Source organism: Homo sapiens, chromosome 13 (assembly GCF_000001405.40).
Source record: "Homo sapiens chromosome 13, GRCh38.p14 Primary Assembly".
Lineage (NCBI taxonomy): Eukaryota > Metazoa > Chordata > Mammalia > Primates > Hominidae > Homo > Homo sapiens.
Window position 1 is genome coordinate 76,204,732 of NC_000013.11, and position 27,514 is coordinate 76,232,245.

General features: G+C 38.0%; 1 long non-coding RNA gene across 1 annotated transcript in view; it reads right to left on the reverse strand.

Moving 5' to 3' along the window:
• Positions 1–24,783: 24,783 nt before the first annotated feature.
• The window catches only part of LOC105370262 (uncharacterized), a 41,390-nt gene continuing 38,659 nt past the window's right edge, over positions 24,784–27,514 (reverse strand). The window contains exon 3 of the long non-coding RNA XR_942093.3: positions 24,784–24,961. This is a non-coding gene — a long non-coding RNA (uncharacterized LOC105370262). The remainder of the gene's footprint in view (positions 24,962–27,514) is intronic.

A 27,514-nucleotide genomic window follows, 5' to 3' on the forward strand; every position in this document is an offset into this window, starting at 1 on the left:
CCTTCATGGTTGAAGGCTGGCAAGAACAGATTTTACTTGACCATGAATTTGGCATTGGATGTATTTGACCATGATTGATGTTTAAACTGAACCTTGTCCTTGCTGGTGGGCTCCTTGAGATTTCTCTCTTGGGCACCTCTGACTTCTGTGCTCTTGATATGTATAGTGCCCTTTCTTTAGCAGGCATCCTAAGACCCCCTGATTCTTAATATTAAGCTAATTTTTGCTGAGGTCTTCTTATCCTGCGCAGGAAGTCCTGAGCTGACATTCCTCCTACAAGTTACACATCTGGTTCATGGATCTGTCCTTGGTGGAGATGTACATATGGTCCTTGACCTGTCCTTGGTGCGGATACAATCATTCTCCACATGGACTCTTCTGCTCCCATGCCACATATCTCCTCAGCCATCATCTCACCATAAACCAGACATCCATCCAGTGCCTCCTCAAACTTCAGGCAACACATCCCACATACTCAAGTGATGTCTTTGAAGACCTCCTCACAATGTGTGAGATGAGAGAAAAGTTCTTTTAATTCTTCCCAATGGTGGTAGGCTGTGAATGCAAAACCCTTACAACTGTCTCCAAAATAAAACTTTCCTTAGTTTCCATCTCCTTGTACTCCTCTGCTTTAGTTCTTTAATAGCCTTAAAGTGACTATAAGGGGCCATGATCAGAAAATTATTTTATAAACTCTTTTGAATGTCTTGTTAAGTTGGTCTAGCATAGAAGTTGTTGGTAGCTATTGTCTTAAGACCTCATTAACTGAGTCAGAAAGTTTTGAATTTTGATATCCTGTTATGAATGTATTTGTACATATCATTATGTTATGAGCACATACATGTATGTGTTATGCGTATGTGTGTATATGCTCTTTCTTTCTTTCAAACATACACCCAATTTGTGTTTATATTAATACATTCTCTTGTACAGGCATTTATGAAGATGCCTCTCAGTGTAAACCCTGTTAGGAACTGGTTATACAAAATGGCTAAGACTTCTTCTTAAGAAATACAGGCTGGCAGGATGATAAACATAAAAGCAGATAAATACATTATAAAGTGAGAAATGCTGCTGGAAAGCTCTGTCAACTACTTGAAGGACAAAGATTAGCCATGATGCATGGAGGATATGATCAAACAAGCATCATTAAACCAGTAACAGGTTAAAGTAAGGATCTTCAAGTTAATGGGCAGTAATTACAACTCCACCCTATAAATAGCAGAGCATTCCTGGAACTACTAAAGAAGTGCATGTGTTACCTTTGTGTCATTATATTGATCCAAAATTTAGGGTTTCCTGCTTGTGTATCCTCCTTCTACCCAATTTAACTGTGCAATACACTGAAAATGTCTCTCTTGCTGTCTCTTACCAAAGAGAAGCCTGACTTTAAGAAACCAGCCTAATCAGACAGCTGTATATGTTAATCAAGAATAATATTGTTCTCTAGAATACAATTTTTAGTAAAACTGTATTGTAGAGATAGCTTAGTTGAAGTCTCCACATAAAAACGTTTTGTTTTTCATCAAAATTCAGTAAAAAGGGAATCTGAATTGAGTGTCTTGTGACTTTGCAGATGAAAATCTGCAGACTCCAAGAAATTTACTCTTGAAAAATCAGTTCAATTGTAAGGAAAATGCTTACATATTGAGAATCTACTCAGAAACTGAGCAAAATTTAGGGTCAAATAATTCTCTTGAGTAAAGAAAACAGTGATTAAAAAAAAGGAGTGAAATATTGCTCAATTTCTATTTGTTAATGAAAATGAGTTCATTTGTTTTTTTCAGATGCTTAAAAACATTGCCTTCCAGTTTAAAATAGAAATATTTTTCATTGAGTATAATGCTTAAAGAAATATTATACTTATCAAGTATAAATGCCACTGACTCTCTGAATTGTTTCTACATGTGCGTGTGTTGACTAATATTAACATTTTAATGTATGGTATTAATCTTTCATTAAGGATGTTATCTTAATACATTAACAATAAAAGTTAATGCTTTTTATTGGAAAGGCAATTACCCATGGTTTAGATGGTAAAGCCATGATAAATTTTCAGGCCATGTTTTCTTATTTACTTTAAGAATAAATTTAGCATAATTAGTATCCTAACTTGAACTTGAACTAGTGTGGTTGTCTGGAGACTTGCTGGAGAATTCACAGGATTTTTCCAGATATTTTAAGGTTGACTACAAATTAAAACCATATTTGTTTATGTAACTTAAAAGTACCTCTTAACAGGAATTACAAGAGGACAGTTTTAGTAAACTTGAAATATGTGAGAGTTTAAGATACAAATATGAAACCTGAGAAATATGGGGCTTACAAACTTGGAACAAGCTGTTTTTAGCATCTTAACCTCTAACAGTATCTGTATACCTTCATTAAAATGTCATACATCAATGTTTATACATTCGTACACACAACTGAAACTAAGTCTATCAGATTTTAATTTCCAATTGGAAACATATTACAGCATATGAAATTTCTTTTCTCTATTAAATAAGAAATGCAGCAAAAAATGGATTCCTATGATACTTCATCATCTGCTCATGCTGACATTTCAGAGTTCTTTTGTGAAGATTCTTTAAAAAATTTTTTTTTATTATACTTTAAGTTTTGGGTTACGTGCGCAGAACGTGCAGTTTTGTTACATAGGTATACACATGCCATGGTGGTTTGCTGCACCCATCAACCTGTCACCTACATTAGGTATTTCTCCTAATGTTATCCCTCCCCCAGCCGCCCCCTACCCCCCACAGGCCCTGGTGTGTGATGTTCCCCTCCTGTGTCCATGTGTTCTCACTGTTCAACTCCCACTTATGAGTGAGAACATGTGGTGTTTGGTTTTCTGATCTTGTGATAGTTTGCTGAGAATGATGGTTTCCAGCTTCATCCATGTCCCTGCAAAGGACGTGAACTCATCCTTTTCTATGGCTGCATAGTATTCTATGGTGTATATTTGCCACATTTTCTTAATCCAGTCTATCATTGATGGACACTTCTCAAAAGAAGACATTTATGCAGCCAAGAGACATGTGAAAAAATGTCCATCATCATTGGTCATTAGAGAAATGCAAATCAAAACCACAATGAGATACCATCTAATGCCAGTTAGAATGGTGATCATTAAAAAGTCAGGAAATGACAGATGCTGGAGAGGTTGTGGAAAAATAGGAACGCTTTTATGCTGTTGGTGGGAATGTAAATTACTTCAACCATTGTGGAAGACAGTGTGGCGATTCCTCAAGTATCTAGAACTAGAAGATTCTTAAGGTAGCATACACTAAAGTGCTGTCCTCTGCTGTAGATGGTGACATCATTGTTTGCTAAAGTGATATGATCTGATAAAATTCATCACAGCATTGATAGACCACCATACAGAAATCTACCCCATCTCTAAGTGGAACAAGCCATGGCTACAATGATGGGAAAAGGCCAGCCTTATCACTTGCCTACCATCGGCTGATAATTGAGCTTTTTTGCTTTACCTCTCTTTCTTTATCTTTTTTGCTTTTGGTTAATTAACGTTTTGTAAAGAAAAATTCAGAAAAAAAAGAAAGATGGTGAGATTCTTTCAAATTATTTATCCACTTATTATTTGGTTATTCCTAAGTACTTAAAACAAGTTTCTTTTCACTTACTTTTTAAAAAGTTTCCTTATCCTCTCAAACTTAACCTTAGCCTTTAGTTTTGTATCATCTACCAAAAAGCAAAGTGTTAATTTTTATTCTCTTTTGATAGTTCTCCTACCCCTGATCATTTTTGTTAGTTTTTTCTCTTCTTTTGCATACCATTCAAATGTTCATGTCATTCAGCATTCTTCCTTTAGTTCTCCCCCCCTCCACCCAGTTCTCCATATTTTCACATATTGACTTCATTCATCCTCATAACTACAACAGCTATCTCTATGCTACGGATATCCAAATATATTTCACTGTCATAACTATCTCTTCTGAATTCCAGTCCTTTTTATCTAACTGCCTATGAGACACCTCCATACTGGATATCCCATAGTTGTCTCATCAGAACAAATGTTAAGATGAAAAACTTTTCCTCTGTACTTGCTCTCTGTGTATTGCCATTGCCCTTTAAAAGAGAATAAAGCTTCCTCCAGCCTGAGCACCACCATCCCTGTGATTAAGGAAGGGACCCACTGAACCTGGAGTGCTCTTGTCAGTTGCTCTTCTCTCCCAACACTGACATTCTCCTTTACACTAATGATTCCTCTAATACATTGGCTTCCATGTCTTTGACAGTTTCCTCCAAAGATCTTGTCCTCCGTTCTGAGACATCCACTCCCATGATTTAGTCTAGACCTTACCAATCTATAGTGAATACATCTTACGCTTCTAACTTTCTTCAGTGCCCCAACTTTAAGGATTTCTCAAATTCTCCAGGATCTTTCCATAAACTATTGCTCCTGCCCCACTTTTCATTGCCTCCCCACCCTCCTCAAATGTTCACTTCCCAGCTTACTCAGTTTAAGTTCCATGGGCAGTCGTAACAATCATTTTCATATATACTCTCAACTACTTCTTCCTTTCCCTGCATAGTGTATTGGCAAACACAAACCCACACAAAAATATATGGCCTTTACTCTTCACATGAACCTTAGCAGGTGATCATGGTGAGATCACATAGCTAATTTGCAGAGAGAGGTTTTTTTTTTTTTTTTTTGAGATGGAGTCTCGCTTCCATCGTGCAGGCTGGAGTGCAGTGGTGCAATCTCAGCTCACTGCAACCTCCACTTCCAGGGTTCAAGAGATTCTTCTTCCTCAGCCTCCTGAGTAGCTGGGATTATAGGCGTGCACCACGACGCCTGGCTAATTTTTTTGTATTTTAGTAGAGACAAGGTTTTGCCATGTTGGTCAGGCTGGTCTCAAACTCTTGACCACAAGTGATCTGCCCACCTTGGCTTCCCAAAGTGCTGGGATTACAGGTGTGAGCCATTGCTCCCGGCCTGTGTGGACAGATTTTTAAACTCATGATGTCTAACCTCAAATACGCCTCCAGTGTTGCCTAAAAATTCCTCTCCATTTCCCCATGGAAGCCATACTGCCACTCTTATAGATGAATAGTAGTACTTACCTTTTCTCTTTTCTTTAAACTTCACTACATTCTCCTCATTCTTGTTTTCAGCTGATAACTGCTTCTTATTTAACAGAGAAAACACACATGACCAGACAAAAATCTCTACTTTTTATTTCAAACAAATATAGAAAGTTACTTGCATTTGTAAGCAAATACTGAATATTTTTGGTTCTATTCCCACTTCACCCCTCACCCAACTTCCTCACCGAATTCCTATTCCTACTTCTGGATATTGTGAGGTCTCAATCCTAGTATCTCACTGCCTTGGTGATGTCAGCTGTGTCATAAGTTTAAATATTGTCTACATGCCAACCAATCACAAATATTTATTTCCTGTCCAACCTCTCTCCTGGATTCTAGATTTCAAGTGTCCATCAGCTTAATTAACATCTCTGCTTAGATATTCTGGAGATTGTTAAGGTTGTTCATAAATACTCTCCTACCTTTGGTACATGGTACAATTGCATTTCTCAGAACCCTCATACCCATGTTGTTAGCCAGGAAAGTATTTTATGTTATGTACGTGAGAAACCTTAAAGAGCCACAGTGTAATGGCCACATTCCTGTTCCTGTCTTTGCTGTCTATTGGGGAAGCATGTGTCTACAGACAGCCTGCATCAGATTGGCTCTCTGAGTGACTGAAGTGGGTATGGCCTGCTGCCAACCCTGGAGGATTTGAAGCAAGAGTGAGTAATAAATTGTCTTACTAAGCCAATGGTACTTTGGGATTGTTGGTTCTTCATCATAGTTTATCTCAACTGGTAATATTTCTATTATGCATATAAAATTTAATTTATTCTGAACAACCTTTTGCTTTTCCTTTCCAAATCTGATCTGCCTATAATTTTCTCCATACCAGGAAATGGATTCACCAATATTTCAATGTCTGTGGTCAAAACTATCATTACTTTTTCTTATAACTCACATCTACTCCATCAACAGATCTTTTTGGCTCCACTTTGAAAAGGTAGTCAGATTTAAATTACCTACACTGCAGGCTAGTAAGTATACAACTAGTACACTTGTCCAAGCCTGAGTTTTGCAATGGTCTCCTAACTTGCCTTCCTGTTTCTCCATTTAAACTATTATAGTCAATTTTCCACATAGCATCAAGAGGGATTTTTAAAAATACATCAGATTAGGCCACACCTTGCCCCAAACCACTCAGGGTCCACCATTCATAAAGTAATATTTCAAGTCCTTACGTAGCTTACAAGATCTGTATCATCTGACCCACTTATAATGATCTGTTCTCATTTTTACTTATCACTACTCTTTTTCACCACTCACTGCTTCAGCTACTCATTTCTCACTTAAACCCTACTTACTATATCCAGGACATTGTACTTGCCATTTCACTTGTTGACATTTACACATCAATTACCATTAATGTAAGTTAAATCTATATCATTCTGAATCTTGTCATAATAGAGTTAACTTTCTGGATAAATCTGATTACTAAGAGAAACATAGCATTCTATATTATTCAGAGATGTGTGTTGTAATCATTCTGTCTTCTGTTGAATTGTAGTCTTGAGAATATAAGTAATTATGAAAAACTACATTTGTTAGAATGTTTCTTTTTGAAAGAAGTGTTTGTTCAGTTAAAGTTGTAAACCCATGGTTGTGGAGTTAAAATATGTGCACATATTCTTAGCTACGCCTCCTTTCAACAGGTGGAACTTGATTATTTCCCTTTGAGTGTGGGCTGTGCTTACTGACTTATATTTAATGAATAAAATGTGGCAGAAATGGCAGTGTAGTTCTGAAGACTGGATCATAAAAGGCACTATGGTTGGGGCTTTTCTCTCTCTGTCTGTCTGTGTGTCTCTCATTTCTTCTCTCTTTGATCATGTGCTATCAGGGAAGTTAGATACCATGTCATGAGGACCTTTCTTACCATCAAAGATCCACATGGTAAGAAACTGGGGCCTTTGGTCAACATCCAGCAAAGAATTGAGGTTTCCAGCCACAGTGAGTGAGCATTCTTGGGACAGAGAATGAGCATTCTAGGGAAGCAGATTCTCCAGCCCCAGTCAAGCCTTCAGATGACTGCAGTCTTGGCCACCATCTTGACTCTATATTAATGTGAAACTCTACACCAGAAATACTCATCTAATTCCTGGATCCCTGACTCTCAGAAACTGTATGAGACAATAAGTATTTATTATTTTAATCTGCTACATTTTGAAGTAATTCCTGATGCAAAAAAATAAATAATACACAATATCATTTTTGTCATAGAGGTTTGATTATGATTAAATATAACCAGTGTAAAAATTTACCTCTTTACTACCATCTTACTGATCTCATAAAAAGTCAAACAGTAAAAAGATTATATAGATTACCTTACATTTGAGAATATGTATAAAGCATTCTTCTTTGCAAAATTACTTTATCAATAAAATAGACAATTAACAAATTAATTATAAAATGCCTTACAGAGTCTCTTCTATAGGGGTGAAAATATGAGGGAAAGACAGGAAGTGAAAATTAACATTATGCTTGCTGGGTAGGGTAGGTGTCAGCCTCTCTAGAGTAAAAGGCAAAAAAATGAAGAAAAAGCCAAATCATTTGCCTTTAAGCAATTAGTTACTAAGAATTTCTTTGAAAAATACTACTTATAAGTTTATTTCATAGTTCACCTTAGATTACCTGTAATTTCAATTGAATTCAAATCGAGATTTACTGTTTGCCAGGAACTGAGTTAAAGATTCAAAGATAAGCAAGACTTGGACCATTTCCTGGAAGAGTCTAGTAGGGGAATGAGAGCATCAGAAGATAATCAATAAATGTATTCTATACTATATATATATGGCCAACTGGAGGCACCTTTATGATATATGCAGGCTAATTCTGGGCCATTGCAATAGGCCATGCAACTAACAGGATAGAAAGCATATCTAAAAAGCAACTTGCAAGTCGATTCAATGTTCTCCTGTTAACTCATAGGAAGTGATTCTTGTGGTTTCAAGGATATCATGAGGTTGCCCCTTGTGCCTTAAATATCAGTAATAATTTTCCCTTTCAACTCTTGGCGTTCCATTCTTCATCCACAAAAACAGCTGAAGATGTGGTAGCAGAGAACAACAAATCATCCTGTTGGCTCCTGCCATCACCTGATGACAGAAGAAGAGCTGTCAGATCGTGTTTATAAGCACTACTGATTCCTGCTGGTCATGCTGTTGTAGGACCACCTGAGTCCCCCCAAGGGAAAAAGGTTTTGAGGCCATCTCCTAGCAACAACAAATGGAATAACTTAATACCAAGCATTTACTTTCTTTGCCTAAAATTCAGCTTCATTATATCAGAAGAGAAAGATGAGGGAGAAGGAGCAATGAAACAAAAAAAGTGGATGGAGAAGGAAAAGACAGTAAAAAGGAGGAGTGGAAAGAAGGTTGCAGATGCTTGAGCTCAGTATATAGGACAATTGGGGAAACATTTGAAAGCTATTTCCTTAGGTAAATAACTCAACCTCAACCAGAGCAATTGATGAAACCCTTGCCTTTCCTGAGACAATTTTGTTCCCAGCATAGTTCTTGGCGGGGGGGGTTCAGAAATTGTCCCTGAGGCAGGTGTCAACTATGTCAGCTGCTTTCTTCATAGCTGTGAGCTGATAGTTTCACATCCTTCCTGTTTCCACCACATAACTCTTTTCCAACCTACAGTTTTCTTTCCCTTTTGAAACTGCTAATGAAGCAGAGAGAGGGAAGCTGATGCTCACTACTTCCCCGTGCAGGGCCCGTTTTAGGTACTGTGGTCTCTGTCACTGTGACCTGGGCAAAAGATATGAGGCTGTACCATATAGGACAGAGGATTCTATAGGAGCTTTGTGGCAGGCCCATTCTTATACGGTACCTGCACACACTCTGCTGCATGGAGGCCAAGATATGCATTGATGTGTAATTCCTTTGTGCCATTGTTCTGGTGTGGTGGTCAGATTTGTCTGCTACAGCCTAGCCTAGCTGTTCTCAAACTGGAACATGTATGAGAATTACCTTCAGGGTTTGTTAGTACACAGACAGGTGGGTCCTGATCTCAGAGTTTCTGATTCAGTAGATTTGGGGCAGACTCAGGAATTTGCATTTCTAACCAGTGCCTATGCGATGTTGATACTGTTTGTTTAGGCCATTAATATAGAATCTCTCTCCTTAATAATCACTGGCCTAAGCCATAGTGATGAGCTTGCCATTCTCTAAGCTTCTGTTTAGTGACACTGCAGTTTTCTTCTATTTTCTTTCTACCAGAGGCCGAGAGGTCCAGGGAATACCCCTATATTCTTCTTGGGGATTTTTTTTTTTTTTTTTTTTGCTTGTTGCCTGTTGACATTAAGAGTCACATAGTATCTGGATGGAGAGAGAGAAAAGGGCCCCTCACAGCAGTGGTGAGAATGACTTGGCAGTTGGTTTTTGAATGTTCCATGGTGCAGTTGGTGTGCTTCACAGTCTTCACCCAAGCCCCATTCAGAATAGTTTCTCCTACTCTTTTCACAGTAAAAGGCAAGCAGGGGGTTTTGTATTTCCAAAAGTATACATGAGTAAAGACTACTTTGTTGTCATCTTTCTGGCTAAATGTGTGAACCTGATTCAGCAGCATATTCTCAAATATCTCAGTATCATTTGGGACGTATGTCTGAAGGCCTCCCCACTGAATCCTCCGTGAGCGTAGATTTATTTCAGGTTTGCAGATCATTGCATAGGCTTCTTTCAAGTGCCAAAGTTCACACTAACTTTCTTGCACATTTTCAATCATATTCCTATGAAAGTTATGCTTTTTTGCTTACTTCTAAGGTTTAAAATAACCAATTGTTTAAAAAACACACTTTTTCTTGATCTTTGATTACTTCCTTTCCAAATCATCTCATGTGCTCTGTAATACTCTGAATTACATACACATACACACACACACACACACACACACACACACACATATATTTTTTATTTAAGTTCTAGGGTACATGTGCACAACGCGCAGGTTTGTTACATATGTATACATGTGCCATGTTTGTGTGCTGCACCCATTAACTCGTCATTTACATTAGGTATATCTCTTAATGCTATCCCTCCCTCCTCCCCCCCACCCCACAACAGGCCCTGGTGTGTGATGTTCCCCTTCCTGTGTCCAAGTGTTCTCATTGTTCAATTCCCACCTATGGATGATGACTGCAATAATGGTGATAGTAATAAAACTTGCATTTGCTTATTATATACTTATTTATTGATATGTGCCAGGCACTGTGCTAAAAACCATATACACATACTATTTAGTTTTCACTGGAAAGCAAAAATAGAAATGGTTTTATTATCACCATATTATGGATGTTGAAACTAAGACTTAGAAAGGTTAGTACTTCCTAAGGTCAAAACAACAAAAATTAGAGCAAGAATTTGAATACAGACCTGGTTTCAAAACTGTTTACAACTTTTCTGAAAGATATGTTTATTTCTCTCTCTGGGCAATTAGGAGAATTCCCTTCTCTTATTCGATTTCCCTGTCCAGTCAATTAGTCAGCAAATATGTTCTAGGCACCAAGTTTGTTTCAGATGCTTCTCCAGTGCTAACAGCCTGGAACCAAACCAAGTGAATATAATTTTATGTATGATTAGTGTTATGTAGAAAATAAGCAAGGCAGTCATAAGTGATGAAGGATCTACATTAACTAGGTTGGTCAGTGAGCACTATCCTAAGGAATTACATTTGCAGCAGGCACTGAATTAATGAGAAGAAAGCAACAATGGGAAGTTCAGTGGTTAAGTCTTCCAAGCCAAAGGAAGAGCAAGTGCAAGAAGGCTGAGAAGGAAATGAGATTAGTGTGAACGAGGAACTCAAAGAACAATGGGGAGTGTTGAAGGAGATGAGGTTGGAAAGGCAAACACAGGCTAGATGATGCAGGATCTCGTAGTCTAGAAGAAAGAGTTTAGAAGTTTCCATGTTATTCTCCTTGCTATTTATCAAAGAAGCTTCAGCAGGGTACTGATGTAATCTGATTTATGTTTTGGGAAGATACACTATATGAACAATGAATGATAGTCATGCTGGGGATGAAGGAGAAGAGAGAACAGTTATGTGGCTGTTTCAGTTATCCAAGAAAACAGATGTTGGCAGTAGGAAAAATGAGAAGTGGTCAAAATTCTGGATATAATTTAGAGGTAGTTCCCAAAGGATTTATTGGTGAATTGAATGATGGAGTAAAAGGAGAATGAGAAATTACAGATAATTCTTAGGGGTTGGGTCTGAGCAACAGGTAAATGATGTTATTTGCTGAGATGGGGAAGGTAAGATAGAGAGCAGATTGGGGGTTGCAGGGGATTCTCAGAAGGGAGTGGAGGATAGAAATCATAGATCTGTTTTGATATTTAGTTTGAGATGTCCATTCAACATCATAGTGGAGATCTCAAGTAAGGGGTGGATATGTGAATCTTGAACATGGGGAACAGATATAAATGCTAGGGCCAACAGAAGCCAAATGAGATTAATGCCATGGGTTAGGAAGGGATGTGTAGACGTAGGAGGATGAGGACTAAGGCACTCTGAGCTCTGTGCCCTTTGGCTTCATTATTTCATGCAAACTCTTACTATGCTTCTATTTTAGATGAAAAACAGAGACCTCAGAAAAAGAGGTAGCTTGACCTACAGTTTATAATTGGGCAGAGTAAGGATCTGAGCTTTTATGTTCAAAAATGCAGAAGGCTATGGTCTTAGCCGCTATTGCACAGTAGGAAGTATCATGAATGTGATATCTAAGTACTAAATTTAAGATCTTTTTTAAATCACAAAATAAATATATTAAATGTATTAATATACTTAAAAATATAATTGGAAAAATGTACTAATGGTCTAAGCAGTGTATAAAGCATATTTTAATGTATTTTCACTTGATCCTTGATAAGTCTAAGCAGGAATAAGAATTATGTCATTTGGATCTCTAAGGATTTATCTTAAGAATTTGATAAACATCAAATCCATGATTGCCGTTATCTTAAAATAACTTACTCAATTAGTTTTAAGTGTGTGCAGAGGGGCAGGGTACAGAAATGGGATCACTCTGCATGAATGATGCATAGCTTTTGGCTTGCTAACAAGAGCTATAAAGTAGGAATGGAGGGTGTCAGCATGCACACACACCATCACACAGCTGCTGCTTGCAAATTGGAAAGAAAAATATTACCAGGCGAGCATTAGCAAAGCTAAACCAGAATTTCAACATTGCCAAAACCCCAAAGAATCATCAGAGAGGAAAGGAAGAAATGAACCAAGAATGAAATATTTGAATATTTGAATGCAGCATTGTGTGCAAAGGACTGAATTCTTTAAAAGATTTATTTAAAATACCTACAAATCAGAAACAAAATATTTTTATGAAATGCTCAGTTTAACCATGAAAGGTGTCTCTTTGCCTCAGACAAAATTCAAATTCTGTACATGTTCTATTATCACATAGTTTTTTTTCTGGCCAAAATTGTTCATAAAAGCAGGGATAGGTAGATTTCTACAGTAACCACATTTTATTATTTAATATATTCAGAATATTCCCCTAAGGCGAGGTCAGGAGAGAGGAATATTTTCTGTCATTTGTGCATTTATTCCAAACAGACATCCTGAGTTCCAGTCCCCATTCTTTGTGACCAGCTGTGTAGACTTGGATAAGATCATTAACCAATCATCAGTTTCCCCATGTGAAAGGGGATAATAGTAACACCCATCTCATTGGCTTGTTATGAGGATGAAGGTAAATAATTCCAGTGATTTGCTTTGCACTATGACTAGCACATAGTGACCACTCAAAACATGATGGCTATTGTTATTAGCCAGGGATCCTGCCCTCAAAGATAGAAGATCAAGTAGGAAAAGATAGTAAAATTCACATCCAATGCAAAGTAAAATAAGGTAAAAGCATAAACAATGAGGAAATTCAGAAAAGGAAGCAATCTCATTTACAATGGCAGATAGAAGAGGACGTAATGAAGAATGGTGCAAAGAGAATGGAGAAGACCACAAAAAACAGAGTGGAAAGAACATGTTCATCCTTGTCTGCCCATTGTAGTTGGACAGGGGTGGTGATTTGACTCAGCCATTGAGACCAAACCACTCCTAGAAGTTGGAACTCTAGTGTTCTCAGCATTCAAAATCCTGCAGCAGGACTAGAATGGAGGAGAGAAAGTAATTCACTTACGGTTTAATCTGAGAAAGCTTTTGGAAAGTTTGCTAGTTGGTATTATACTAGTATTCAATAAAATCATAGTATTTGTTTCTCAAGAAAGGGAGTAGGATTTCCTTCCCGGTTCTGTAAAATTATTCCCTTTTGGAGCACTGTTTCCAATGATCACTTTTGAAAATGACTTCAGGTATTTATGAACTATCCTAGTTAATGCTATATCTTTAATCTTTGAGAGAAGATTGATTTTTTTCTTAACTGAAATCCTTCTGAACCAAATATTGATCATATCAACCACTATGATATTTTTGGTTAATAACTAAGTGTTTCTCTAATAAAATATAATCTTCTTATTCATTTTTTTTTTTTTACAACTTGTACATTATCTCTCAAGTCATTATGTTCGTTTGGACCGTGCATATTTTAGTATGCTAATTAACTCACCTAATGCCATTACTTTATCATCTTATTTTTTATATATGCCTATGGTGAGAAATTGATAGACATGACATAATTATCAGAGAATGAATATATGTAGAATGATACATCTCACGATTGTTACATGGGACTTCTTTGTGATTCAGAAAATTTTTGCCCAAACCATGAAAGATCCCCTACTTGCTACAAAGAGATAATGACCAGATTTTATCACCACCAATTTGACCCAGCATCTGCATCTTCTATGTACCTTCTCATTGTTCCTGTTCTGTCCATCTTCAGCTGGCTCGTTATAGACTATAGGACAGCTATAGTCCATAAGTCCCCTGACAGCTCCCCACAACTCACCAACACATTTGTCTCTGTTCCAATCATCAGTTTCCAGTCTTGATGTGTTAATGTGGTAATGTATGTGACATACTGATTTTAGAATTAAAGATTTTAATATAAGAAAAGATGTAACACCACAATCACATTCAATTCCTTCAACAACCAACAAATCCATTACCATATTTTAAAGCAACAGAAGGTTAAAATTAGAACAAGTTGAGTAAATCCTAAAGCAAGCAAGAATACTTTTGTCTGGGCCAAATTGATGAATGTTTTGTTCACATCTTTTAATCTAGCTTAGTGAGTCTCAGATTTATAGAGTATGAGAATCACTGTATATTATGGGTGATTTAAGGGATTTCCTAGGGTGATTTGAAATAGATTTTATTTTGGTCTCATCTCTGATTTTAGAACTAATGTTCCCCCACTTATCCTTCCCCCCAACTCTGCCCCTACATGCAAGGTTTATCTCCACCTTGACCTCAAGTCTTTATAATGGTATGCCTTAGAAGTGGGCCACATTCCTGAATCCTTCCCCCAAAGCTCTCCTTCCATCTACCACACTGTGGAACTGGTAACTTCTCATGCTAGTAAAGTAACAACCCTCCTTGTCTCCTTTCCTTTCCTTTCCCTGTTCATCGCCTCCGACCTGGTCTGGGCCTCCGTTAAGTAGCCAGAGCCCTGCATTAATTTGCCTGTCAGTCTTTTTTCCCTGGGCCTGTATCTGTGACCTCACCATCTGAGAGCTTCTCATGTGACTCCCGATAAGGAAATACCACCTCAACTCTTTGCCATGATCCACCTCTAGTAATTTTCTGAACCAAGATGGTCTTGCCTACCCTTTCATTATTGTTAACACCAACAGATGTAGCACTGGAGCCAGTTTTGTCTGCTGAGTTTCAATGGCCCTACTGCTTTTGTCTTAACTGAGAATCCGATTTCCTACCTCCATCTCACTGGCTTTTTGAAAGGAAAAAAAAATGTGTATTACCCAATCCGTGGATTAAATATAGTTAAGTTCTGAGTAATGAAAACTTCTTTGAGTGGTGCAGTAAAGAAGATGCTGATTTTGGGTTCTAATGTAGACTTCAGATTATGACTTCACCACTGATTAGATTTGTCATTGTGGCAAGTAACCTAACTTCTTTCCACCTTGATGTCCTCATCTGTCAAGGGGTTATTGTGATGGTTAAGTATGATCATGCATGCAAGGTGCCTAGCAGCGCTTAGGGTTGCATGGTTTTATTTTCCAGTGTCAATAAATCTTAGGTCCCCTTCCCTCATTTCAGGATATGAAAAAAGAGGGGAAGTGATGCCACTTTCTTCTTGGGATCAGAATTCTCTTACTAAGTATGGATTTCAAATTGGAGTAGAATATGAACCTTTTTAGATCTCAGTTAGATTCCAATTAGGATAATTCAAATTTTCTTTTTGGTTTCTAGAAGTATTTTCTCCAACAGTATATTCATCCCATCTTCTGACTAGAAAAGAGAATAGAAGCGTAGTAACCACAAACAAGAAAGGCTTAGGCAAATATAATTAATAGGGTAGCAGAGAGCCAATGAGTTGGCTGAGAAAAAGGCAAACATATAAAGTTCATTTTCAAATTAACTATTATTTTCATACAAAAAGAGGTGAGAAGAAGTGTAATTCACAGGTAATTTAAAAAATAAAAGATTTTTAAGACACACCAGAAGTGGCAGTATGACTTTTATAGACTTTTTATTTGTCTTTCTTTTAGGAGATTTCTTTCTTTTAGGAGATTTTATTTCTTTGTGCTTCAGTAACTCAGCAACTTATGTCCTGACTGCTTATATATTATGCATGGAATTGATGGTATAGGTTTACATATTAAGTAATATTCCATAAGTAGGGAGAAAGGTTAAAAAGCCTATTGTGCACTGAAACTTGTTTTTAAAGTTGCAAATTAAATTATTAGTTTATCCTTATTCTTGTGAAGTCAGTAACAAACATAATGAGAAAAGTACATAAATAGACATATAGCAAGTTGCCATTAGTCACACACAGTAACACAACAGAGCTGGAATCAAAACACGCGTTTCTTAACGAAGGCAATGTAGGCAGCTGCCTACAGGGTGTAATTTACTGATGAGATTTTTCTTCCTCAAAATATCTCTACTAAAATTTTATCACTTCTTTTGCTTAACAAATTAATCTTGAAAAATGTAAATATTCTGGAAGGGTTATGACAGCAAGCAAGCTAACACGCTTTAGAAAGGCAGAATCATAGAGTACCTGAGAGTTGGGAGGGTTCTTTTACAGCATTTTCAGTTCCTTACCCAATTTTTACAGCCCCTCTTTCTTATCTCAGAGAGGTCATCTTTCAGGTAAAATGCTCTCAGCAGGTGCCCTTCATTGGAGAGCAGACCATTTCACTGGTGACCATCTCCTATGGTGGGAAGACTCTTCCCTACCCTGAGGCACGGTGACGAAGTGCGAAATGCCGGTCCTTCAGCGTTGGAGAGACATGACTATTTATCTTGGTTCTATCCCATTCTGGCACGTAAACTTGAGCATGTATGGCAAATTTTTAAGGCTTCAAATCATTCTTCTACAAAAGGAAGATGAAATGCCTACCTCATGAAACTGTTGGGGCTGGTTGATTGAAATAATGTACACCATTGTCTAGTAAGACAATTGGTAAGGAGTCAAAACCAACATGCTTGTTTCTTCTCTCTTCATTTATCCAATGTGTCCCTCATAGTAACTTTTACTAATTAGTTTCCTTTCTGTCTTTGGAGCCACAAAGAATAGGTTTCTTCCTCTCTTTCTCTCACCTCTTTTTCTTCTGTTCTTTCCTTCTTTAAAATTTTTTTCCTTACTTGTATTTAATAAAGATATTGCTAATCTTTTTATTTGATCTACCAGTACCATAACGATAATAAAAAATAACACGGTAATTTTGACATAACTTGTTTTTGCTGAACCAATATTAATGCCCCGATGACCAACATATTCTTAATACCCACAATTCATCTGAAGATCATGGGTGATTTATATCAGAATTTTGCCTGATGTTAAAATGAGTTATTTTTTAGAAAATTTCCTTTCCTCTTTTACAAAATAGGGAGAGAACTTGCTTATATTTTTCCATTCATTTCATTATTCCATTTGACATAATATTTCCAGCAAATATGGTTTGAAATGTAATTAGCCTATTGCTATAAATTCATCTAAAATATCCAGATAGTTTTGCCTTTTATTGCTCTTTTCTTTATTCTATTTTATTACTTTATTGTTTCCAATGGGAAGATTTTTTCTCTTAGGTAGAGAAAAGTACAATTGTTTTGTCATCTTTTTATCATCTACTAGCAGTAGACTATCTGTTCAAAACAGAGGTTTCTCCTTTTTAATTAATTTTATTGAAAACATAGTTATAATAAAGCTCTTTTAGCTTCTGCCATTATTTTCAAGTCTTAGTTCATTCCAGATTTTAACATTGCTGAGAGTGAACTCAGAGTATCACAACACTCCTGTGTATTCATTCTTGGATATGGACTTCCCTTTTCCTCTTTTGTACCTGCATTTAAACCTAATCCACATAAGCGAATGTCCTCTGTGCTACTTTGGCTTTCTCAGATACCACATCCATTTTTCCTTATTTGCATTTGTGTACTCAATAGTTAATAAGAAAAATTACATTTAAATTCTCTCTTTAGAATTACAGCATCTTTCTGTGATCTAAACATGGGATGGTGTCTTTCTCTGACAGGCACCAAATTGTATAAATTAAGTTCTAGGTATATTATACATCTGTATGGTCATTTTGTTTAAGTCTACTTCTCAAACTGGACTCTAATTCCATGAGGGCAGAAAACAAGACTCTTTTTCTTACCATAGTTTTCTCAGCAATCACACAGGGTCTATCATACAAAAGATATTCAGTGAGAACTCATTGAATGCACTTGTAGCTTTGAGTGTTTGCTTGCTCTGAGCTCGGGTGTTTGAGTCATCTGCACACTGACAAAGGCCTGACAGTACTACACAGTAGATGGTTTATTTGGTGTGAATCAGAGAAAGGTTCAACAAACTGGCACCATAATTGTTTTCTTTCCCTTATTCTTCTCCTGCTAAATCTCTGTTTTCTTAAACCTCTACTCTCAGGACAAGGTCAAACTACGCCTCTGTTTTACTTACATATTTATTTTCTCAAACCACGAATCATGTATTTCCAACCAAGCCCAAAGCAACAAAATACAAAGCACATTCTCAGCTCATGTTGGACCAAAGGGTTTCAGCCAAGGTCCGGTAATATAGTCCACCAATCTCTGGGAATTTTTCAAAGATGCAAATGTCACTGACACACAACAATGCATCTGCAGCAGGCTGGACAGAGGAGAATAGGTGGCGTTACCATGACTGATTGACTTGGATGGACCACATAAGGTTCTCTTGTTATTTTTTCCAGGTTATTTTGAACCAGGAATAGTTTTAAAATGAATGAGGCACAAGTGAAGAAAAATACTGCTGAAAATAATTTTAAAGTTATTTCAATAGATTTCAAATAACTTTACTCATGTAGAAGAAATTGACATTTAATGCAGAAGAATTGGAGATGAAGTAAAGATTAAACTGTTAACTTTTGAACTACATATATTGTATTTGGGGTGTAGTTTGAACTTAAGATTATATTCAAGGATCATCAAAAATGGTGAGATGAGCTTCCCATCATAAACATTATATTGAGTAAAAACCCCCAAAATTACACAGTCGAGTTCCAATAAAAAAATATCCTATGACCCAGGGGTAACAGGAAACTGATGACTCCAAGGCCAGGGTCAAGAGGTTCTCAGCTGTGTTGAAGGCCCAGAGGCCAACTCAGGGACTGGTTTGGGCTCCGTTAGTCCATGAAGGCCACTCTCCATGGTATACTCTACTTATCCCTAAATCTTCAGTAAGATGTCTTCAAAAGCCACACATTGACCTTTGCTCTGCTACAGAGAATAGGGAAAACAAAGCCTCCTCCCTGAGGCAAGGGCAGAACTATGGGGCTGTCTCCAGCAGAGGACAGTGTAGCACTGGGGTCAGCTGAACTATGACCACCTTAGTAGACTGAAAACCAGATGCAGCCACAGAGAAGAGAAACTCACAGGCGACCATGGGTAGAGTGCAAGGTACATAGAAAGCAGGGTATATTCTCATAATTTTGCCATGTAGAGTTCATGCCATATTAGTAAAGGATGGAAGAAAGTAATTTCTTTATTTTGAAGTCACAAACAAGTGAGACTTTTAACATGGGAGTTGTATAACCCACAATCGTAGACTAGAAAGAACCTCAGCATCCTTCTGTTTTATAGAGAGTGAACCTAAGTACCACAAAGCTTCCTGTATGTGATCCAAAAGCAAATGCCATGACCCAGTGGTATGGTATGGCTTATCCCCACCCAAATCTCTCATCTTGAATTGTGGCTCACATAATTCCCACATGTGTGTGAGGGACCCCGTGGGAGATCATTGAATCATCCGGGTGGTTTCCTGCACAATATTCTCATGGTAGTAAGTCTCACGGTATCTGATGATTTTATAAGGGGAAACCCCTTTCGCTTAGTTCTCATTCTCTCTTGCCCAGTGCCATGTAAGAAGTCCCTTTGCTCTTCCTTCATCTTCCACCATGATTGTGAGGCCTCCCCAGCATGTGGAACTGTGAGTCAATTAAACCTCTTTCCTTTCTAAATTACCCAGTCTCAGGTATGTCTTTATTAGCAGCATGAGAACAGACTAATACACCCGGGATTCTAGCTTCATGTCCAAAGTCATTTCTCCACACTGTGGCTTCTTTGAAACTAAATGTTTGATTGCAGGGATTCTGTGGGGATTCAGCATGGCACGTGAAGACACAGGGGGGCTCTGGAGCCAGCTAGTCTTCACTTAAATCCAGGACCTGCCCCTTGCCAAAAGTGAGCCTGTGCCTCACTTTCCTCATCTGTAAAAAAGGGATAATCAATAATACCAAAGTCATATGGATATTGAAAAGGTTAAATGAGCTGATACATGTACAGCACTTAGATATCAATATAATTATGTGTTCAGAAAATTCTAAATATTATCACGAGTCACGATTTGGTTCCACCACACCTTTCCTACCTCACTTTCCACTGTTTTCTCCCCCTACCACTCAGTGTTTTGCCATGTTGACCTTCTTGTCATTTCCAGAAAACCTAGCTTTTTCATGCTCACATGTCTTAATGCATGCTATTTTCTCTGCTGGAAATGACTTTCTGCTTCCTTGTGCATATCTCATTCCTGAGGTAAAGTCCATCTTGGTCCATCTTTACTTCATAGCCTTCCTCTAACCCTGCCTCCCATCCCCAATATCACAGTTAGGTGCTCTGCTCTACCTGTTCCTAGCCGCACCTCATAAACTCTCCATCAAGCAGATCAGATGGAGATTTTGATGTTGTGTCTTTAGTCCAAATGACTGTGATCTCCTTGAGGGTGTGAACTATGTTTTAATCATTCTTGAAGAATTAGTATCTTGTTCTTCATTGTTTCCCAATAAATGCTTATTTCAAAATGATAAATCAAGGCTGCCCAGGACACCCTTTCTAAATTGGTAACATTGACTGCACACCTAAACACATGCACACACACACACACACACACACACACACACACATGTGCACTGCCCCCTCCTTGCCTGAATTTTCTGCTCAGCATTTAACATATTATTATTTATTCATCTTGGTTATTACAGTAACATATGTTCAAACTTAGAACTCTAATGGCAAGCAACACTTAGTAAATTTTTCTCGTTGTTATTAATATCATTAGTTGCTCTGTCATTGCGAATGATGATAGTATTTGTATTCACTGTCCTTGTTATTGTTATTACTAATACTATTATCATAATTATTATCACTGTGCTCTTGTTATTCTATATGGTCAAAAGAGAGCAGATCATTCCTTGCTTTATGAAGTCCTGTTCTATGGAAGTACAATTGGTATATTTTGTTTGTAAATATAGTTAACCTATTACTTTTTTACATATAGATTTCTTACTTTCAAGGGTATAATTTGGAAGAATGCAAGACTAGGATCCAGATAACCCAGATTTTGCTAGCTGTGTGACCTGGACCAATCTCCTTCACTTATCTTTAAAATAAGTGGTAGGGAAAATCCAGAGAAGCTTTTGTGTTGACTCCTCTGTCTTGCTCCGAAGGCAGCTGTTGCTGTTACTATTGAGGCTGGCTGCAGCTGCAGTGTCCTCGTCATACTCTTACAGAGCATCAAGTTTCCACTGGCCAGAGTTAGAATGCAAGCTGTAACCTACCAGTCGTCCTGGAATGACCCCCGATCCCTTCCTGTTTCATTGCATTCTACAGATGAACACAAAGACGTGTGTCCTTGTTCCCACTGTGCACACACGCTTCTCCTCACAAGTTCTCATTGGATTCTCCTAAAATATATTTTAGCTCAGTCCTCACCCTAAAGCTGCCTGTATAGAACTTACTAGTCAGTGTGCTGCAAGACTAAAGGGAAATTTCATATGTATCTCCACCTCTGGTATATTACTCACTAGAGGAAAACAAAGCTTTCTGTTCTTGTTTTTATAGACCCAGAGGCATATCAGCTCCCTCATGGGCCATCGTGTGGTCAAGACAGTTCTCCTTATGGAAAAGCAATACTTACGTTTCACCTTTCTCTACAAAGTCAGGAAAGATGTTGGTTTTTAAAAAAATCAAGCATATGTCATGTAGGTGAGAAGATGAGTGAGCTAATGCTTATGAAGTACTTTCCTTTGCTTTGGAAAAAAAATCAAAAGAACAACTCACTGAAACCCCTTCAACTGAGTAGACCTGTTCTGACCCACTCATCAGAGCTCAACCCCAGTATGGAGATTCTTGAAAGCTTATTAAACAACTCGCAATTTACCAGAGATTTGTCTCCATATTTGAAAATAGGGAATAGTGAGTTTTCTCTTTAGTTCTTATTTTTAGTTTTAAATGTGCATCCTTACAAGATTTCTTACTGTTTGGTGCAAATAACGAATGATAAGGGGAAATGGGAGGTATGGTATAGTCAGCCTGCAGACCAGGAACCCTAGCTGCCACCACCACAAACAAAACAATAAGCAAATATTTTACTTAACTTTCTTTCATGATAGAAGAACTGCTTACTTCATGAGTCCAGAAAAATACAGCAAGGAAATCTTCTCTTAAAGAAACTTTGGGTAGCTTTGTAAAAACCTCTTACTGAGTCATAAACTGTTTACTGAATTCAATGAATCCTCACTTTTCCCTCAAATTAAATTTAGTGGGTGCATCTGTTACAAAAAGTATTGATGACGCCTGACTGTGGAAATTATTTACAGAAAGCTTTTCATATCTCCTGGAGAGAGAGGCTGCCTCACAGAGAAACTATGTGAGTTAGTTACAGTTTACAGATGCTACAGGAGCACTAACTCATGGGTGTGATCATCATGGCTCTGGAGCTGGATGCTTGAAGCTCTGATGAGAAAAGTCCCCAAGGGGAGTTGTGGTCCCAGAGGAAATCCAATCTAAGATTGTCCTGTGCTACTTAATCCAGCTGTCACATGTAACTTCCTGGGTCCCCCTTCTACCATATTCTTCTTTCCAATGTAAATAATTACAAACACAATTACTGGACTGTCAAAAGGCAGTACTGTGATATTTATATAGAAGAGTCAAAAATTCCTGGAGGAAAAACTATCATCACACACACACACACACACACACACACACACAAACACACACACACACAGCTCTATGCCTTATAATGACATTTTGGTCAATGATAGACTGTATAGCTGATGGAAGTCCCATAACATTGTAATGTAGCTGAAAAATTCCTTTTACCTAGTGAGGTCAAAGCCATTGTAATGTGATAGAGCAACATATTACTCACATGTTTGAGGTGATATCGGTATAAACAAACCTACTGCGCTGCCAGTCCAATAAAAGTATCGCACATACAATTATGTAGAATACATAATATTTGATAATGACAATAAACAGCTGTGTTACTGGTTAATGTAATATATATATATATATATATATATATATATATATATATATATATATATATATATATACAAGCTTTTATCATTTTTTATAGTGTACTCCTTCTACTTATAAAGAAAAGTTAACTAAGTTTACCCATCCAGTGGTTTGCAGAAAAAGGAGAAGGAACACAGATGGATAACGAGCAATAAAGGGCAACATGCTTGCAAATAGAGAACAAAGGCCTCTGAGTGCACAAGGAAGGATAGAGCCTTCTTTCATCTGATAAAAAGAAAGAGGGAAGTTTAATAAAAGAGGTCACACTTGAGCTGGACCTTGGATAAAGACTGGAATTTGATGGTGGAAATGCGATAAAGTTTCTTTTTGCAGTGAACAGCAAGGATAAAGGTATGGAGACAGAAAACCTATACATTGCAAACCTGTTTGGGTGAAATATAAGAATACTGGGAAACAAGATAGAATCATTGTTTTTAAAACTACCCTCGTGGTTCCTTCCTGTAAGATGGGGATGAAGATAATTGTGCCTATTTCATGAGGCTGTTATGAGGATCAGATGAGTTGATTCATGTAAATGGTTTGATTTCGAACACACAGAAAGCACTCAACAAATGAAAAAAACATGAGGCTAGAAAGCCCTCCACTGCTACTGATTGTTAATTTTTGTAAATCTTCCACAGAACTTGAAAGAAAGTACTTTCTCTGTTTATATGAAATTATAGTCAATTTACATCAATTAGATAACTCTTACTGTGTTATTTTGTTCAGCTCTGTGTTTACTTAGTTGATCAATTGTGGTTTAGAACAGGAGTTGGCAGACTATAAACAGTAGGGGAACACACCTGAAGCCTGTTTTTGTAAAGGTTTATTGGTAGCCAGATATAAATGTTTGTTTATATAATATCTCTGATAGAGTTGCATGTCTGTGACAGAAACTGTATGGACATCAAAGTCTAAAACCTTCACTATCTGGCCTTTTATGGAAAAGTTTCCTGACCCTTGGTCTAGAGAGAAACAAAATTAAGTTTCTTGCTACTATTTATTTCAATCAATTTGTTTTTGTACTTACAGCAATTTTTAGTACTTGTATTTTGGTTCTATATTATCTCATGCTCAAAAATTCATTGTGGCATTCACTTTCCATCATTTTTAAATGACAGTATTTATCCAAGTTATTTATATTTTGCAATAATATTTAACCTTGCCTGATGCCTGTATTGTCAACTGTTGATTTCTTTGTTTGCATCTCTCAAGATATATCTTCACTTGTACTTTTAGAGCCAACTTGTTATGATTGCATCTTTTTCTACATACTTTTTAAAATTTAATGTGATATAAGGTGAATTTATATCCCATTTAACTATAAATACTCTTCTTAATCTTAAGCCCTTCATTTTATTTTATGTTTTTCTTTGTAACTATCTTTTCCTCTATAAGATGTGTGTGCGTGTGTGTCTGTGTGTGACAGAGAGAGAGAGAATGCTAGGCTACAGCTACAGACTGCAGAAACCACTCTAGATAGTTCAAATAGAAGGGGATTTACTACCAGCTAGGTCAATGGTTTGTGAAATTGTTGGTAGGGTTGGAAGAGCAGGATTTGGGCAGAGTTCTTTGCTCCTAGGATTGCACTCATCTGTGATTGTGATTGAGAAACCTGTGATGATTTCTGCAGAGAAATACTGAAACACAAAGATATGACCATGGCACTCACTTTGTCACAGTCTGGAAAACTGCCATTCCCACTGTGGCCAGTGGTTTTTCCTGGGCCACATTACTTCCACTGTGATCTCCATCTGAAAATGGATGCCTCATACTCCACCTCCTTCTTACTCACTTCCACATTTCTCAGTGAATGCATACGTTTAGTAGATCCTAAAACACACCTGAAGCCCTCGTACATGGAAGTCTGGGAAATGAAGATTTTAGCTGTTTTTTTCTCTGCAATCTAGGGAGGCATTTAAAAATAAACATTGAGCAAATCAATCCACCATATCCATCATCTTGTGTTCTTCCCTATTTTACATAACATGCATGGCTTTGAATAATTATCTCATTTTAAATAGTACACATAAATATCTATTTCTTGACTTATAAATATTAATTGGAATCTATTATCCCTCAAGTATGAAATATAAAGTATCTAACTCACTCTGTTTTCTCCAAAATAGAAAAAAATGAGGCAATGAGCTCACTTCCATTTTCCTGTTTCCCCCATTTTTCTCATAATTTATATTAATCATATTACTATTTTTGAATGATCAAGGTTTATGACACTTAAATTCTATCCTATAACTGTAATTCACCCGGTGATTGGTATGAGTCATACACTTTTACAGATTTAATTATACCGACGGTCTTTCCATACTATGGCTTTTCCACCTCTGACTTTAATTGCAGATATCCATGTTTGGCTGTATTTAATTAACAAATACGCCTACCTTGTGGCATATTTGTAAAAATTTAAAATAATGTATTAAATGTCTCAGGTATGATAGCTGCTCAATAAAAGGCCATTTTATATGGCCTTACTCTTATTAATAAAGAAAAATAAAATGACAAAATTGAGAATGTAAATAAGATAAAGATAGAATAGTATTCATAGCACATGGTAAATAATGAATAGATTTTGTACTTAATTTTCTTTGAGCATCAATAATGTTAGATTTGAGGAGGAGGCTGAGCAAGATGGTAGAATAGAAGGCTGCACTGATCATTCCCTCTTGCAAGGGCAGCAATTTAACACCTACATACAAAAAGCGCCTTCAAAAGACCTCAAAATCAGGTAAGCACTCACAGTATCTGGTTTTTAACTTCATATCACTGAGAGAGACACTGAAGAGGTAGAAAAAACAGTCTCGAATCGCTGATGCCATCCCTCCCCCACCCATAGCAGCAGTGGCATGGTGCAGAGTATTTCTGTGGTCTCGGAGAGGGAGAGTGCAGCAAATGGGAGGCATTAAACTCAGTGCTGTTCTGTTATAACAGGAAGGAAAACCAGAACAAACTTAGCTGATGCCCACCCATGAAGGGAGCATTTAAACCAGCCCTAGCCAGAGTGGAATCACCAATCACAGAGGTGGGAACTTGACGTCCCACAAACCACACCATCACGGGCTAAAGTGCTCTGGGGCTGCCAATAAACTTGAAAGGCAGAGTAGGCCACAAGGACTGCAACTTTTAGGAGAGTCCTAGTGCTGAACTGGGCACAGAGACAGTAGACAGGGGTTGGGGGGAGGGCATGCTGAGACACCAGCCAGGACAGCCAAAAGAGTGCTGCCATCACCACTCCCATAACCGCAGGATGCACAGCTCACAACTGTAAAAGAGATGCCCCTGCTTTCTGCTTGAGGATAGAAGAGGGAAGAGTGGGGAGGACATTTGTCTTAAACATGGATAGTAGCTCAGCCACATCAGGATAGGACACTGGTCAGTATTAGGAGGCCCCCTTCCCAGCCCTAAATCTTGTATGACATTACTAGACACATCCCCCTGGGCCAGAAGGGAACCTACTGTCTTGAAGGGAAGGACCCAGTCCTGGCAGCATTCATCACCTGCTAACTGAAGGGCCCTTAGACCCTGAATAACCAGCAGTGATACCCAGGTACTATGTCGAAGGCCTTGGGTGAGACCTGACATTTACTGGCTTCAGAGGAGGCTCAGCAATTCCTGCTGGGGTGGCTGCAGGAAGAGACTCCTTCTGCTTGAGAAAAACAGAAGGAAGAGTTAGAGACTTTGTCTTGCACCTTAGGTACCAGCTCAGCCACAGGGAGTAAAATACCAAGCAAGCTCTTTGGGTCCCAAATTCTAGGACTTGGCCCTTGGATGGCATTTCTGGACCTGCTCTGGGCAGAGGGGAGCCCACTGCCCTAAAGGGTGGGTTCCAGGCCAAGCAGCATTCACCACAAGCTGACGAAACAACCCTCATGCTTTAACGGAAAATTGGCAGTAGTCTGGCAGTACCGTCCATGGGCCTGTGGTGGTGATGGCCACAAGGTGAGGCTCCTCTGCCTTTGGAAAGAGGAGGGAAGAGAGGGAAGGATTGTGTCTTCTGGTTTGAGCGCCAGCTCAGCCACAGTACAATAGCATACCAGGTATACTTCTAAGGTTTCTGACTCTAGTCTCTGGCTCCTGGACAGCATCTCTGGACCTGCCCAGGGCTTGGGGAACTTGCCACTCTGAAGGAAAGAATACAGGCCTGGCTGGCTTTGCTACTTAGTGAGTATAGAGCCCCAGGGCCTTAAGTGAAAATAGGTAATGGCCAGGGAGTGGTTACAGCAGGCCTTGGATAAGATCCAGGGCTTTGCTTACTTCAGGTCTGACCCAGCACAGACATAGAAGTGGTGACCACAGGAGTGCTTATGTCACTTAATTCTCAGCTTCTGATGGCTCAGGACAGAGAGAGACCCCATTTGTTTGGGACAAAGTAAGGAAAGAGAACAAGGGTCTCTGCCTGGTAATCCAGCGAGAAGAGAAAGAGATAGGGGTGGAAAGTTTATTA